This window comes from Homo sapiens, chromosome 5 (genome assembly GCF_000001405.40).
Source record: "Homo sapiens chromosome 5, GRCh38.p14 Primary Assembly".
Taxonomy (NCBI): Eukaryota; Metazoa; Chordata; class Mammalia; order Primates; family Hominidae; genus Homo; species Homo sapiens.
In genome coordinates, this window is record NC_000005.10 from 112,262,063 (window position 1) to 112,278,253 (window position 16,191).

General features: G+C 37.5%; 1 protein-coding gene across 16 annotated transcripts in view; it reads right to left on the bottom strand.

Annotated features, from left to right (window-relative positions):
* EPB41L4A (erythrocyte membrane protein band 4.1 like 4A) overlaps positions 1-16,191 on the bottom strand; it is a 278,107-nt gene that overhangs the window by 120,234 nt on the left and 141,682 nt on the right. For 15 of the 16 annotated variants that reach the window (XR_001742173.3, NR_144931.2, XM_011543531.4 and 12 more), the window contains 4 exons: positions 13,264-13,342; positions 4,171-4,268; positions 2,834-2,954; positions 432-519 (listed from right to left, as the gene is read on the bottom strand). Coding sequence is in view for 14 of the 16 variants with exons in the window: in XM_011543531.4 (XP_011541833.1) it covers positions 432-519; positions 2,834-2,954; positions 4,171-4,268; positions 13,264-13,342 (386 nt within the window). In the remaining 2 variants the exon portion in view is untranslated. Of the gene's footprint in view, positions 1-431; positions 520-1,363; positions 2,955-4,170; positions 4,269-13,263; positions 13,343-16,191 lie in introns of those variants that run through there. The other variant, NM_001347888.2, reaches the window with a different exon arrangement.

Genomic DNA, 16,191 nt, shown 5'->3' on the forward strand with positions numbered 1-16,191 from the left:
TGTATTTTTAGTAGAGTCAGGGTTTCGCCATGTTGGCCAGGCTGGTCTCAAACTCCTGACCTCAGATGATCCACCCACCTCTGCCTCCCCAAGTGCTGGGATTACTTACAGGCATGAGCAACCACGCCTGGCCTATACATCAATTTTATATTGTTTTGATGTTTAGCTAAGCCCTTTGTATCTGTTATCCAGATTGTGTTTTCAAGCCCACTTAATTGTTTTCTACACATGGAAATATAATCACAGATTTTTATGCAAAACTCATTAGGGTTTAATCCACACGAGAGCTGCTTTGTGTTAGAAAAACAGATAAAAAAGTATCATCTGCTTGCTAAACAACAGGACTGCAGCTTTCCTTTGGGAGTCTCAGTGACTTTTTAAGAAAAATGTCATCAGCTTAAAATATTTTGTGTTAATTAAATGTTACTCACATAGACGGGATGGAGGTCAACGCCATACATCTCCAGGGATTTGGCAGTCCTCAAGTAATTCAGCTCAGCCTCAGAAGGAATCTGACCCCTACACCCAGCACAAAAACAAAGAGCCTTATTTTACAGCAGCTACTGCACTTACAGGGATGCAAACTATCTTCATTGTATTCAATGGGAAAACAAATAATACTTTTTACTAATGCAAACTTAAGTCCTTGTATTTCAAGAAGGCCTTTGCTTCTTGGTGACAAAATTTTATACTCTGAAGTGATACTTATATTAATTTCATTTACCAAATCCATTCTGGCTCATTATAGCCTATCCCCAATGTCCCAGCATATATTAAAAATTCTCAGTTTCAGAAACCCCTAAAGAGGTTATTGAGAATATAAGCACTCAAATTAAACACCATCCCCTTCACAAAGAGTAAAATGTCTCTGTGCACCAGCAGCTCTCCATCCAAAGCAAAGGGAACTAGAGCAATGGTCAGCAGGAGGAAGAGAATGGGGCTGCCACCACCCAACTGGGATCATATCGAGATCTCCTGACCACATGTGTAGTTTGAAAATACATTGATTAACGTACAGAGATTGTAAAAAATGCTTGTCATTTTCTTAATACACAGTACAGAATTCTTCCCAAAATCTTCATTGGTGGTAATATAAAGAAAACAGCATTCATTCCTGATGAGGGTGAGCATCAGCCAGAAATCTGCACAGAAGAGTTAAATATGCATGTGCAAGCGAGTGTGTGTGAGTGTGTGAGAGAGAGAGAGGGATTGAGATTTTAATAGATAACCAAAGGAGGTCAAATCTCAAAAATTAAGAAATCCTGCAGTGACATATTTCATTTCAGTCACAATGCACTGGAAAACCACCAACGTACCATACTTTTGAAATCCATGAAGAATGTTCATCAAATTAGACACACCACACTTTGATCAAGCTTTATTCTTAGAAATAACAGTCACAATGTCAACACTATCATCTAAAACACATGAGAGCCTTTACCCAAAGCTCCTTGATAATTTCAATATATAATTGTGCTTTGAAATCCCTAGTAGAATCAGTACTCTCATAATGTGCCAAACACATTGCCCTTCCTAATGTTATAACAAGCACTCTCTGACCATCTACTTCAGCAGAATCTGAAAATGAAGGACTCTACAATCAGGTTGGAGAGCCTTCTAGTGCATGCTAATACAACATAGAGGGCCTCTTTCTCTGACTGCAATTCAGCAGCTGACTTCTGCTTCTACACTCACTGAAACGGATCCTTTAGGCAAACATTTTTTTGTGACCAGATTAATTCTACATTTTTTTCTTTTTTTTTTTTTGAGATGGAGTTTCACTCTTGTTGCCCAGGCTGGAGTGCAACGGCGTGATCTCGGCTCACTGCAACCTCCACCTCCAGGGTTCAAGCGATTCTCCTGCCTCAGCCTCCCAAGTAACTGAGATTACAGGCACATGCCACCACGCCCGGCTAATTTTTGTATTTTTAGTAGAGATGGGATTTCACCATTTTGGCCAGGCTGTTCTCAAACTCCTGACCTCAGGTGATCTACCTGCCTCGGCCTCCCAAAGTGCTGGGATTGCAGGCGTGAGCCACCACGCCCAGCCATGTTTTTTTTCCTTAACTATAATAGATCTGAAACCAAGTATATTCAAGAGGAAGTGTTACATAACAGGGAATAAAGCAATGTTAACCGGTGTAAAGAATTTAACCAAAATAACTATAATGAAATTAAAACTTCAGTGCTATAGGCCATGAATTGAAAATCCTACTAGGGGAGCGTGTCTACTCTCAGAAATGCATGCAGTGTTATCACCATACCCTCAAAGGTTTCACACTGGCATCATCACTATTTCCAGACTCGTTGCTATGGCCTGAATAGGACTTGGCTTATAACCGTGAAGAACTGGGATACTTCAGACAGAGGAAACATTGAAGAATATATTAATGCATTTATGGTTAAAAATTGTTGTGATTAAACATATTTATAGCTGAAAGATTAATTTCACAAGATACTGGTGACTGAAAAAAAAAAAGACTGCAAAATCTAGTATTTACAGAATGATTCCACTATGTAATATCATAAATACATGAACCTATGTATGACAAATTTTCTCTGGGAAATTGTACATACAAAGAGATGTCTGAAAGGCCATTGACCAAAAAATGGTAACTTTACATATTGAAATTACTTTCTCCTTTACACTTTTTAAATTACTGAAGTTTTCGATGAGCATTTTAGAGTTAAAATCAGTTAAACTATACAAAGAGGAGTATTAGAATATTAAATGCACAGGTGAAGAATTTATCATTCTAGAAACTTTTCTTGTGAATATCAGAAGATGATGACTGATGGATGATGCAATAAGACATGGTGTAATGATTCTTACATTAGAGTTTTATGAATCCTTTCTATGGCTTCTTCAAGTTCTTCCTTCTGATCAGGAACAAACCGGTACTCAGATACATATCCTGCAGTATGTTTATATGGGTCATAATCTCCAAGCTCCGCTAAAAAAGAAAGATAACATAGTTTTTTCCATTTTAGGAAAATAGTCCTTAAAACATAGAAATAAAATATTCCTAACATGCTTAAACATTTTTTCAAATGTCTTACTAAAATTCACATATAAGACAACTAAATAATTTTACTAAAACAAATCTGATGAGCATATACGGATGGTAGCAACAAATTCTGGACTTAAAAACAGAAGTTCTTTATTTTTGCATTCCCAAATACTATAATTATATCATCGTTTTTACTTCAATTACTCTTAACAACGTATGTGAAGTAAAATGTTGTAAACAGCATTTCAAGTACAAACATTAGAAATGCTGGAAGTGAAAAACAACCATGACCTCAATATATCCTCTCAGATAATGACACCAAGAAACAGTGCATGTGATTCAATACACCTTTGCCTGAAATAATGATCATGGAAATGCAATACAATGCTGCACATATCCCATTACAATTTACACAAAGAAGCAAAATGATACAAGAAAGCCCACTATATTACTCCTATACAAATGCTTCTTCCTATGTTAATCTACCTTGCAAGCCCCAACCCACTTCATCTATGACATTTTTCCTAGCATATTTCTTCTAGATTATTTTTAGTCTGCAAGTGCCACAAGGGCAAGGACCATGCTATCTTATTCTCCCCACATCTAGCTTGATTCTTAGAAGGTGTCTAATCGTCACTGGAAGTAGTCTCAGCCTCAGTCTCCAAAATGACAATGCATCCTGGAGCCACCCCACACAGCCACCGTATTAACATGAAGAGCTGAAGAGCACTGAGCTCAACACCCATGCCACATGCGGAACCTAGCAATAGCACCTGGCCATGCAGACTCTTCACAACAGCAATGCAGGAGCAATGGGATCTCTGACACATAGAAGCTTGGGAGAGGGTGTGGGGAGGAAAATCAATAAACTCAGATGAGATGTAGATAGAACAGATTGTTAGACCCTCCACTTAATCAAGAATCAATGCTATTCCAGTGACTAAACCTCCATACGACCTACCATAAGGGATTTGTACTAGGCTCCACTTTTACCTGTTCCGAAGGAACACTGAACAAAACTTGAATTCCAAATAAATTCAATTTCTTTTTTTTGCAAAATCTCATGGATAAGAAGAGTTTTAGTATGTAAACTCCCTTTTAAAAATGCAAATACTTTCTCCAGACATTTCTGAGGCAAATATGCTTAAGTGGCACCTACACTGGATGGCATACGCTCCCAGCTGAGCAGCAGTGTTGACGGGACAGGGCAGACGGCCCTGAAGGACATCTTGCTTCACCTGCAAGAAAAACTGATATCTAAAAGAGAAACAAAAAGAGAGATTAACGATCTCTTACACTACTCAAACCTGAGGTTTCGGACCCTGATAATCAAGGTTAACAACCAATCACCTTCAATTAAAATAAAGTCACCCCCCATTCTTGTGTGAGGGGGCTGTTGAGTGAACAGGAACTACTTAAACATACCTTACAGAGGCAATACACGGTTGTCGCTAAAAAGTGCGGCTTTCAAGTTCAACTGCTTGGCTTACTTCCCAGCCCCAGCATTCAGTACCTCTGTAGCCTTAGGCTGCTGCTTAACCTCTACAACAGCCAGCCTCCCCACCTGCAAAACTGGAACAGTTGACAGCATCCACCTCACAGGGTGAATGCAAAGGATAACTCCAAGCTCTTTTAAGCTATCATTACTGCCACTGCCACCACAACATGCTCTTACTGGGAGGAAGAAATCACAAAGACCCAACCTATATTACATAACACTCTGCCTATTATCTGCTCATTCCATGTTGCCAAAAGAAAACCTGTTATAATAGTAATGTCATGCACTGTTCTAAACACTACACGGTAACTCATTCTAAGTAATTTATGTATAACAACTTAGGTTAAGACTTTAAAAATGAAGACAGTATATTATATTCTCCATTGTGCAGATGAGAAAACTGATAGACTCAGGGGTGAAATAACTTGTCCAGGACCTCACAACAAATTAAGCAGCAGAGTTAGAGCTAGAACCCAAGCAATCTGACCCTGGAACTCTATCAATCAGGATGTCATGTAACTTTGATTAGTTTTATTTTTTTTCTTATTCAGCTATTCTGCTAGTGGACTGAGAGGGGCCAGAGGTTTATGAACCAACATAATTAACCATCCACATCATCCTCAGATGCTAGCACTTACACATATGCACACACACTCTCACACACTTCAGCCTGTCCTTTTGTGACTTCTGTTTTGTAAGGTGACTCGATGTCACTGGGAAGGGAAGAAAAAAAACAAAGGAAATGAACTATAATAATCAGCTATATTAAATATCTCTTCTCCAAATGCACACAACCAAAGCACTTAGTGAGGAAATGTTACATGTGTTAGATATCAGACACCACATTGATTATTTCAGGAAGATTGGCATCAACTTTTATTGCAACCATATGTTTCAGAGAAAATTTGCTCAATGTCCCATGTTTCCCCACTGCCCATTTCAGTAAATGGCACCCCCGCCTTCAGATGTCCACGTAAAATAAACCTGGGAACAACGTGTAATCATCCCTGGCACCCACATTCAATCACCAAATATGCTGTTTCTGAAATCTATACTTCTCTCCATCCCCTACACCAGGTCACTCTCTCCTAAACTTCTAAAACCTCCTCCTAACTGTTCTGCCATCACTCATACTTACTTTCCTTCCAATCCTCCCAAGAGGTAAGCAGGATTCTTAAGATGTAAACAGGATCATGTCACTCTTTCAGTTAAAAAAAAAACAACAACAACCCTCAAAAGACTTCCCTTTGCCTTTAGGATAAAGTTCAAGCTCCTTAAGATAGCTTGTAAAACTGACTTCTTCTTACTTCTGCTTACTTCTTGGGTCACTTCTTGCTGCTGATCAGTGACCACCCTGTTCCATAATTTACACACCTTTTTCCAACCCTATTTAACTATTTTCAATTCCCTGAATGTTCACCTGAGCATTAAATCCACTTGATAATGATCATCTGTGCTCCTCTTGGAAAGGAGAAAAGCAGAGTCAAGTAAAATTAGGAGAACTTAAAATACAAAACCTTATAAACAAGAGTGGGCATGGTGGCTCATGCCTGTAATCCCAGCACTGTGGGAGGCTGAGGCAGGTGGATCACCTGAGATCAGGAGTTCAACACCAGCCAGGCCAACACAGTGAAACTCTTTCTCTATTAAAAATACAAAAGTTAGGAGTGGTGGCGCATGCCGGTAGTCCCAGCTACTTGGGAAGGTGAGGCAGCAGAATCACTTGAACCCAGGAGGCAGAGGTTGCCATGAGCTGAGATTGCGCCACTGCACCCCAGCCTGGGTGACAGAGCAAGACCCTGTCTCAAAAAAACAAACAAAAAAAAAACCTTATAAACAAAAGAGACAACTGTGAGAATTATCACTGCTTGCTGCTGGAAACTTGCATTTTACTACACCCTCCTCCTTCTCTATTGGCATCTTCAAATTTCTTTTCCTGAAGTGTATTTTTTTAAGAAATGGGTCAGAGATGCAAATTTCTCTTCCTCTATTAAGACTTTGTGCACAGTGGTTCACACCTGTAACCCCAGTATTTTGGGAGGCTGTGGAAAGAGGATTGCTTGAGGCCAAGAGTTTGAGACAAGCATGGACAACATAGTGATAACCCCATCTCTACAAAAAACAAATTAGCCAGCCAGGTACATGCATGTAGTCACCGCTACTTGGGAGGCTGAGGCAGGAGGATCGTCTGAGCCCAGAAGGTTGAGGTTGCAGTGAACCATAACTGCACCACTGCACTCCAGCCTGGGCAACAGAATAAGACCTTCTCTCAAAAAAAAAAAAAAAAAAAAAAAAGACTTTAACATCTGACTAGACAATCAAATCTTTTGCCAAATACAGAAATGACAGACATCTGATTCAAAGACAAAAGGAAAGAGGAACAGAGGAACAGAGAGATTAAAAATATGTATTAGAAAACAAAGAGCTGAAATACAGACAAACACATACAAAGAAACAGGAGCCACATCACATTAGTAACTGCATTCCCAGTATCTAGGGCTCAGCACATAGTAGCTGCTTAATAAATACTTCTTGATTTGCAAGTTGGATACATGGATAAACAGACAAAATTCTAAAAACTGGTAACATCATTTGCTGTCTCTGAGAAATTCATAAAGAAAAAAAAATATCTACTCAAACTTCCCTGGATAGCCTGCCTTTTAAAGATATCACAGATCTTTAACTCACTGCATTAAAAAAAAAATCAAAAACTGAAGGCAAACAATTTTTAATTTAAAACTTGATTTTTATTATAGCAAGCATCTTAGTAGAGTCATAAGGCAAATTTGTGATAAAGTAAAATCATATTTTCATATGTTAAACATTTTATAGCGTCTCAGGGCCTATTTTAAAGTAACTATATATTGCTTATTTTGTATATTTTATGGGGTTTATAGTAAATTTAGTATTTTATTTAAATTAGAACAAGTTAGAGTTGCTGAGTCTTTCCTTCTGTGTCACTCTGATTAAAGCTATGATGGAATGCTTGAGTCCTCATTTATCTCTGGTTTTAATTAGGATGAACCTATGTGCCAGTCTGCCTAGGAGAGTACTAATTTATGCCTATTATGAATATATAATTATTAATAACTCACTTCATCATTCTCTAAAGTGTCAGGAGTTTGGACAATAAATTATACTGTGACTCTAGTTACATTGTACCATACTGGGGAAAAATGCTAACTAAAAATATCTACTTAACAAGGAAGTTTCCAGAATACATTGTGGTACACAGCAGAGGCTTCATGAAGCAGTTTCTGGTTACCTCCTTATGTAAACTAACAAACCGATGTATATGCACTGCCCCTGAGATTTTGAGTTATAGGTGGGGAGGAGCATTCTGTCTTCCACTCTATCTGTACTTAACACACTGCCACCACCACCAGCACAACACGAGAGACGGGCCTGAAATATTGGCCTCACAGTTTTCTATTTATCTAATGTATGTTGAAACGAGCTAAATTGACACCAAGGATGTACAAGTTGTTGAGGACCATTAACAATTTAGCAATTAGAGGCAAGAAGAACAGACCAGGACTTTCTTAAAGAAGGGGCAGAGAGACAGAAGCTCAAAACAGAAGGCTCCTGTAAGATTCCTGGCCAAGAACAGTCATGAATGCTTACACCAAAGAATCCTGCAGTGCACCTTCTAATGACTTAAGACCCTGCTGAGAAAACTGAAGGATGTAGGGACAGGGAGGAGTTTGATTTTAGGTGCTAGCTGAATGTGAAACAGGAGAACCTAGAGGAGAGTACCAACCTACACAGAGGTAATAAGGAGTGTGATCGTTACCTTCATCCCACAAAGAGCAGGAACACAGCATTTTATCTAACCAGTCTTGATAAAACTTAAATATGAGAGTCAAAGGGAAACATTTAAATCATAACATGATATTAAATAATGCAGAAAAATGGCACATATGACTCAGCAGAAAAACAGTAGAGAAAATCATAACTCTTTAACCTCTAAAGTTTAAAACCAATGATGAAAATATGGAAACAAATAGCAGTAACATCACCTTACATTTATATAGTTCTTTAAAGTTCACAAAGTCCTTTCGCTTCCATAATGACATGTAACCCTCAACTCTGAGGTAGATGAGGACCATTACCTTCAGTGAAAGGAGGAGACAGGGACTCAGGAAGTAAGCATAGGACTGAAGGTCACACAGGAAGTGAGGAAGCCAAATAAAACAAACCCATCTTCACCAAGGGAAGATTCTGGGTTGCAAAAAGAAGACATGAACATAATATCAATCCTCAGCAAAATGCTGTGAAATATTATTTTAAAAGCTAAGAAAAAAATCGAACACCTGTTTTGAGACTCTAAAAAATATTATGAATGAGTCATCTGGAACTAACATTATTTTCTACTTGTAGAAAGAGTTTTAAGATCCTTAAAAGTTCAGGGACATTCCAATGGCATTTCAGATAGGGCTGTCAGCAAGACAACTGACAGATTCTCTCTTCGGGCAGACTGAAACCAGATCTTGCCCTGGTCACCACTGAAACTCCTTTTACTCAGCACACTGTAACATGGTACTCCAGATAGTTACTGAATGAAGTGTAAGGGCATTCTGTCTTGACATACAAATTCAAGAAATGCAGGCTAGAGGGGATAGTAAAATGATTCATAGTTAAATCAGCACCTACAATAAGAAGGATATGATTACTGGATTGACTTAAACATGCAAGAAGACCTATCTCAGGGCTCCAAGCTGGTCTTTTCCAAATGTTTTAATCAATAATTTGAAAATATAAAACAATAACCATTATTTCCATGTCAGCTACCTTTATCATTATTGAACACTTACATCTTTGCATTATGGTAAGTACTTTGCAAGTACACTCTTACATATTCCTCCAAGCATCTTTTTGAAGAAATACTGTAATCCCATTGCACGGATGAAAAAACTGAGACTTTACAAAAGGCTATGCAATCTTCTCAGGATTACAGAACTAGTGAATGACAAAGCAAGGATGCAGACCTCACTCAGCCTTTCTGATTCCCAAGCCTGTCTTTTAAACAAATGTATGTATTATACTTATCAAATCTGGAAGATACAGAGCTATGAAGGACACACAATACAGGGAAGGATGTCATGTTTTGAATCAGAACTGAAAATAAGTTTAACAGCTCTCCTGAGGACACGAATTATCTACAGTACTAATAAAGAATAGAGAGATCAGATTTATTCTGCATAGACCATCAGGGAATTATTATTTCTTATTGAATTTCTTAGTGCTTTTCAAAGGAGCTTTCCTACCTAAAAGTGCTTAATAGGAAGCTGGCTGATGTGTCAGAAATGTTCTACACGGGTGGAGTTCAGAATATACGACCTGAAAGTCCCCCCAGTTTCATTTACTTCAGAAAACATCTTAGAACACAAGCGGGGACTCCAAGTTGATGATTCTATTAACGTACATTTTTCATAATCTGAAACTTTATTTTCCTATCACATTCATTCCAGGTATTTTTTCCTACATCAGTGTCCTTCTGAAATACTGCATATATTAATAGTATGACCATATATATGCACGAGAAGTTCCCTGTAGCATTATTTGTATTTTTTTTTTTTTTGAGATGGAGTCTAGCTCTGTCGCCCAGGCTGGAGTGCAGTGCCGCAATCTTGGCTCACTGCAACCTCCGCCTCCCGGGTTCAAGCGATTCTCCTGCCTCAGCCTCCCAAGCAGGAGTAACCGGGAGTACAGGTGCCCGCCGCCACGCGCAGCTGATTTTTGTATTTTTTTAGTAGAGACGGGGTTTCACTGTGTTGGTCAGGCTGGTTTCGAACTCCTGACCTCGTGATCTGCCCGCCTTGGCCTCCTAAAGTGCTGGGATTACAAGCGTGAGCCACTGCACCTGGCCCTAATTTTTTTAAAAAAGGAAACAACCTGGATGGCCAAAGCATATAGTTAATTATGGAATACAATGTAGGAGTAAAAAGACCGGGTTACAGCACTTTGGGAGGCCAAGGCAGGTGGATCACCTGAGGTCAGGAGTTCAAGACCAGCCTGCCCAACATGGCGAAACCCTGAATCTACTAAAAATACAAAATATTAGCTGGGCATGGTGGTGGGCGCCTGTAATCCCAGCTACTCGGGAGGCTAAGGCAGGAGAATCACTTGAACATAGGAGGCAAAGGTTGCAGTGAGCTGAGATTGCACCACTGCCCTCCAGTCTGGGTGACAAGAGCAAAACTCCGTCTCAAAAAAAAAAAAAAAAAAGACTGGGTTAGATGGCGAAAGAGGCCATACAATATGTATGAAATAGTAACATGTCAAAAAAAATACATAAAAGATTATGTATAAGCACGTTTATGATAGCATGATCATTCATACCAAAAAATTACAGACAACCTAACAGCCAACGCAGAGTAGGCTGGTACAATTTTCCAAAGAACTAAATTAAGATAAACACTCAACTTGAAAATGCTGGCAGAAGTATGCTCTTCCTTAAATAGCATATATCTGGAGATTTTGCTTGTTGGTTTCAGTTCTTGCTTTTGCCAAAATTATCTCATGTGACTCCTCTTTTTCAGGTACATTAATGGTAATATATTCATGCAAATCAATAATAAAATGAATAATGTGCATATATCAATGTATTAAACGCACATTTAACTTACCTAAATTCAACCATATGTTTTAGGCAACAAATCATGGACACTAATTGCAAGCCATCTATGTCACTGTGTTCTTAACTACACAAGCTGGTCTAAAACTTTCAATACAACTGGTTGTACTGAAAATATTGTGGGTTGTAAATTATACAAAAATCCATGTATTCCGTTAATGAGCCATCAGTAGATTCTGTTGGGAAATTCCTGTTCATGTGTGTGGTGAACAGAGGTGAAGTAATGCATTATAAAACAATGATCTTTTTTATCCCTTCTTAAAATTAACTCAAGTATTTTTGGACCCTAACCCCTATTGAAGATATAATTCCACTATACATCTAGAAAAAGGATAGAATGAAATAAGTATTAGCATTCATCAAACATAGTACGAGACACGGACAATCATAAGAGCTTTATATATATTATTCCATTTAATGCTTACAAAAACCTTGAAACAGGTACATCTCCAGTTTTACAACTGAGGACACTTAGGCACAGGCAGAGATTACTCACAACCTGAATATGAAGGACTTTCATTTTATTTTTTAAAAAATGCTGTCCCCTTGCAATTCCCTAACGAGTTACAGATATAAGTGTATTTTTTTATACCACTTGAATTCAGTTTCCCTCTGAAACTCTAATGAAAATACCATCCCTCCCCTCAACATATCCTCCCCATCCTAATGGCCCTTTACCCAGAAAGATGTGCTCTGCAAAAGCTTAAACTGGCATGTCTACTTTTCAAAGTGCTCATTAACAATGTGATAATGAACAATGTGAATGCAGACATCTGCTTGGTTCTAAAAATGAGGTCTACGCTGGCACAGTGACTCACGCTGGTAATCCCAGCACTCTGGGAGGCCAAGGCAGGAGGATTGCTAGAAGCCAGCAGTTCAAGATCAGCCTGGCCAACATAACAAGACAAAAAAAAAAAAAGTATTAGCTAGGTGTAGTGGCACACACCTGTAGTCCCAGCTACTCCTGAGGCTGAGGCGGGAGGATTCTGTGAACCCAGGAGTTTGAGGTCACAGTGAGCTATGATTACACCACTACACTCTAGCCTGTGTGACAGAGCGAGACCCTGTGTCTTAAAAAATTAAACAAATACAGATTATGAAATATAATCTTTTCATCAATCAATCAATCATTAGAGTTCAAAAGATTATATCTTAAGTTGAGGGATAAAATAAAACAAAGTAAAAATGAGGCCTAAATATGGCACTTCAAAGTGGGATGAAAAAGGTCCAATTAGCCTACCCTCTTCTTATTCTTCTGTGTGCAGTCCAGAATAAAGAAAAAAGAAAGTCTGAGACAGATGAAAGCATGGAATAGAAACAAAACCACAGGCTACCAAAGACATGATTTTCAACTTTTTTAAAGGAGGTATTAGGCTTTATTTTAGCCCCTAATATGGGTTCACTGGGAAAACTGACCACCTACGGTTAAGTTAGGGAATATACTTTTGTTTTTCCTACCACATGCAGCTAGGTCACCAGCAGAATAAGTTAAAATATAACTGGTCTGTTCCTTATGAGCCCTTTCAGTTGTTGACATGTACTATTTTGACAACCTAATTAATACCAATAGGAAATTCTGTCTTACTAATATCAAATATTTGGTGACAAAGGTGAAGTAATGCATTAAAACATTGGTTTCCATCCTTAATACTAAAAGCAAAATTATCTTCTCATTTCCTATAGAGATAAATGAAACACCTGGAGAGCTAATATTTAAGCTACAACCAATTAAAAAGAAATACCTGGCTGGGCAAATGTATATTTAGAAGTACAAACTGAACATCAAAATATCCTTCCTTTAGGCAGTTCAAATAACTTCGATATGAATACAAAGGCTGAATGCATGCTTAACAATAATGATACAGAAATATTTCATCACAGCAGATGCAAAATGTATCATCATGTCACCCAGGTTCACGCCATTTTCAAACACATCTATCATCAGACACTGATCAACTTCATGCAATGCTAGTTTAAATTTTACCCTCTAAGGAGATGCGTTACAAAATGCAGGTAGACACACATCCAAACGTTTAGCCCAATTTTAATTTGTTTTAAATAAAGCTTTTTGTATATGCAATGCATGTATCTGTTCAAAAACAAAGTCAATACTATACCTGGTTATTTCTTCTTTAAGTTTACATGGATCTTCAGCATAGAATTTAATACCAAAATACAAAGTATATGGAGGTCCAGCTAAAATAAGAAATAGAAATTAAATTTCACTAAAATCATAAATTAGTCAAAGTTACAGTATAATATTATACAGCTATTTACAATTACACTCCAAGATTGTCTAAAGAAACAAGAAAACATAAGATAAAAACAGCAAGGTTCAGAACTGTGACGATAGGACCTCGACACATACACACACACAGATAAAAGACAGGGCCAAATACACCAGAATGTTGCTGGTTCTTATGTCTGGTTGGTGAGGTTATGGACAATTTTTATTATATATGTTTTTCCCATTTTCTATAGTATATATGTAATTTTTCATAGTGAAGAAAGAAAAAAAATAAATGGTTTAAAAAACCACCCACCTATCATTTCATTAAAAAAAAATAGTTTTTAAACCTATCTGCAAAAAGCTGAAAACAACTTAAATGCTCAGCAGCATGTGGACTATTTAAGTCAGCCCCAGCCACAGGACATATACCATGCAAATGTTTAAACAGACAGAAGGGCATCTGCATGTGCTCATGTGGAAAAGACCAACTATCTAAATTTCCGAGCACAGAAATATCATACCTTTTGTGAAAAAGTATCAGTTAATATATATTTGAGTTTTTTTTCCTGGAAGAGTACAAAAAAAATTACTAAATGGCAAACTCTGGGAAGAAGGGCTAGAAACATTCTATCCTTAAACTAATTCATTAGAATTTTCTTATGATAACTCTTACCTTTTTTTACAGGAAAAAAGTCATCAGTGAGGCTACATAATAAAATTAGGGACAATATTTGTTTCATTCTTAAACATTTCTGAATCTAAAAATGTGTTCTCACGTATTTAAGAAAACCTTTCTCATCTCATTAATTTACCAAAGAAGAACTATGCCTACAAACTTTTTTTTAAAATCAGAAACAAAGCCTGGAATTGTATGTACATGGGCAAATAAAAAATAAACACTCATATTGTGCAAGAAGACACAAACCCCTTGGGTGCTGAACACATTATATTATGCTTTTACTAGAAATATTTTTATTTCTGAGGGTATCAATCTAATCTGTACTGTTTCCAAAAGTGCATATTTCCAAGCTGTGCAGTAACTAGATCTAATACACTTTGTTTTTAAAAGGATTTGTTTTGTTACCTGGTATACCAATTAGTGGTTACGGGTGTTAATTTTGTTTTCCAACAAAAGCTCTCCCACAAATTAAAAAGAAAAGATGTGAAGCATGCATCTCAGTAAAAGTCTTCGATACTATCTAAACTGATAAAGTAACCCCAGTCTCGCTATTCTTAACTGAATAAATAAAGTCACAAATTTAGAAACTGGGGAAAAGAAATTAAAATGAACAAGAATAAAGGTATCATGTATTTATAACATATGAACTATGTTACTATTTATTAATATTACATACACATACTTATGTGTGCAGCACCCTGGAACCCTGTTCCTGGCATGTGGGAGACCATCAAGATGAGGATCCTGCCCCTCCCCTCATCTGTGCCTTCCTGTGTAAAGACACTCCTTATGCTACAGCTTTTTTAAAAACTAAACTTTAAAAGAAACTGCTAGAATTTCTTATTATTGGAGTTGATTCCTTATGTTTAACTTTTATGTTTGTTTAACCACTGTGTTTGTATTTCTGACAAATACACCTCTATCCCTGAACATAGATGTCAGGGAGGCACAGACTATTAAATATTTAGAAGAGCCAGGAAGTCCACCCTCAGCTTATCCGTCTGTGTCAATCAAGCTCCATGTTCCTGAGCAGATGGGTCTGCCTGTGCCCGCAGGCAGCTGGGGTTGGTACCTAGGGGGCGGGGAGGAGCACAGATGCTGCTGAGATGGTGCACAAAGGGAAGAGGCCTTCTCCAGGCCTCAGAGCTGCTTCTATTCTTTGGAACATGACAGATTACACCCTATTCACCAAGCCCACGCATTTCAAATGTTCAGTATGAACAGTTAAGCAAAAATGTTAAAAGTACACAGTTAAAAACATTAGGTTTTGGCTAATTTTCTCTAAGGTCTTCTGGCCCAAACTAGACCTTCATTTCCCATTCACATATAAAATGGCTGTGTTCTAAATATAAGGCATTATTACCATTTGGTTACACTTCATAATGTACGAAAATGTTTCATAAACATTTGATTCTCAACAACAAAAACTTGGGAACATATGCAAGGCACATTAAACTCCAAGGAGTTAAACAACTTGCCTAAAATCACAGGGAAGAAAAAAAAGTTTGCTATCATCTAGGGCTCAGCACTTTGGGGTGCACCATTCTATACAGCTTCTCAGGGAAATACAAAATAATAATACCTTTAGAGTGAGATAATACTCTCATATGCATCACTGTTTCAGAAAGCAATCAAAGGCTATAGAAATGAACATTTTGGACAAGGATATGTCTAGCCAGATATTTTTTGGCTCCCTATTCTAAGACTGACTACAAAAAAGTAAGGTGCTGATAATTCAAATTACAAAATTATTGTCTTGAATCCACATCATTCCATGGACTCAAACGTTTAAGAAACTCTTATGTAAAGTGAAGTTAATATTGTTTCACTTTAGCAAAAAATACAGAAGCCAAAAACTGGGAATCCTCTATATTTTGTGTAGACTAATTTTGAGGTCTTTGATAAGGAGTTTCTCATTAACTCAAGGAGAAATAAATCAAGATTAACTATAAGCATTCTGGTAACTAGCAAATGTTCTGTCATTTTTATAGATTCTCTTTCTGACTAATCTATTAGAGATTTGATAGCCATTTTCCTTCACTATCAAATAATTTCATGAGATAAAATGTAAGGATTCTTCAGTCACTAACGTTTCGTCAATTATAATACCAGTTGTTTTATTCTTACTATACATCA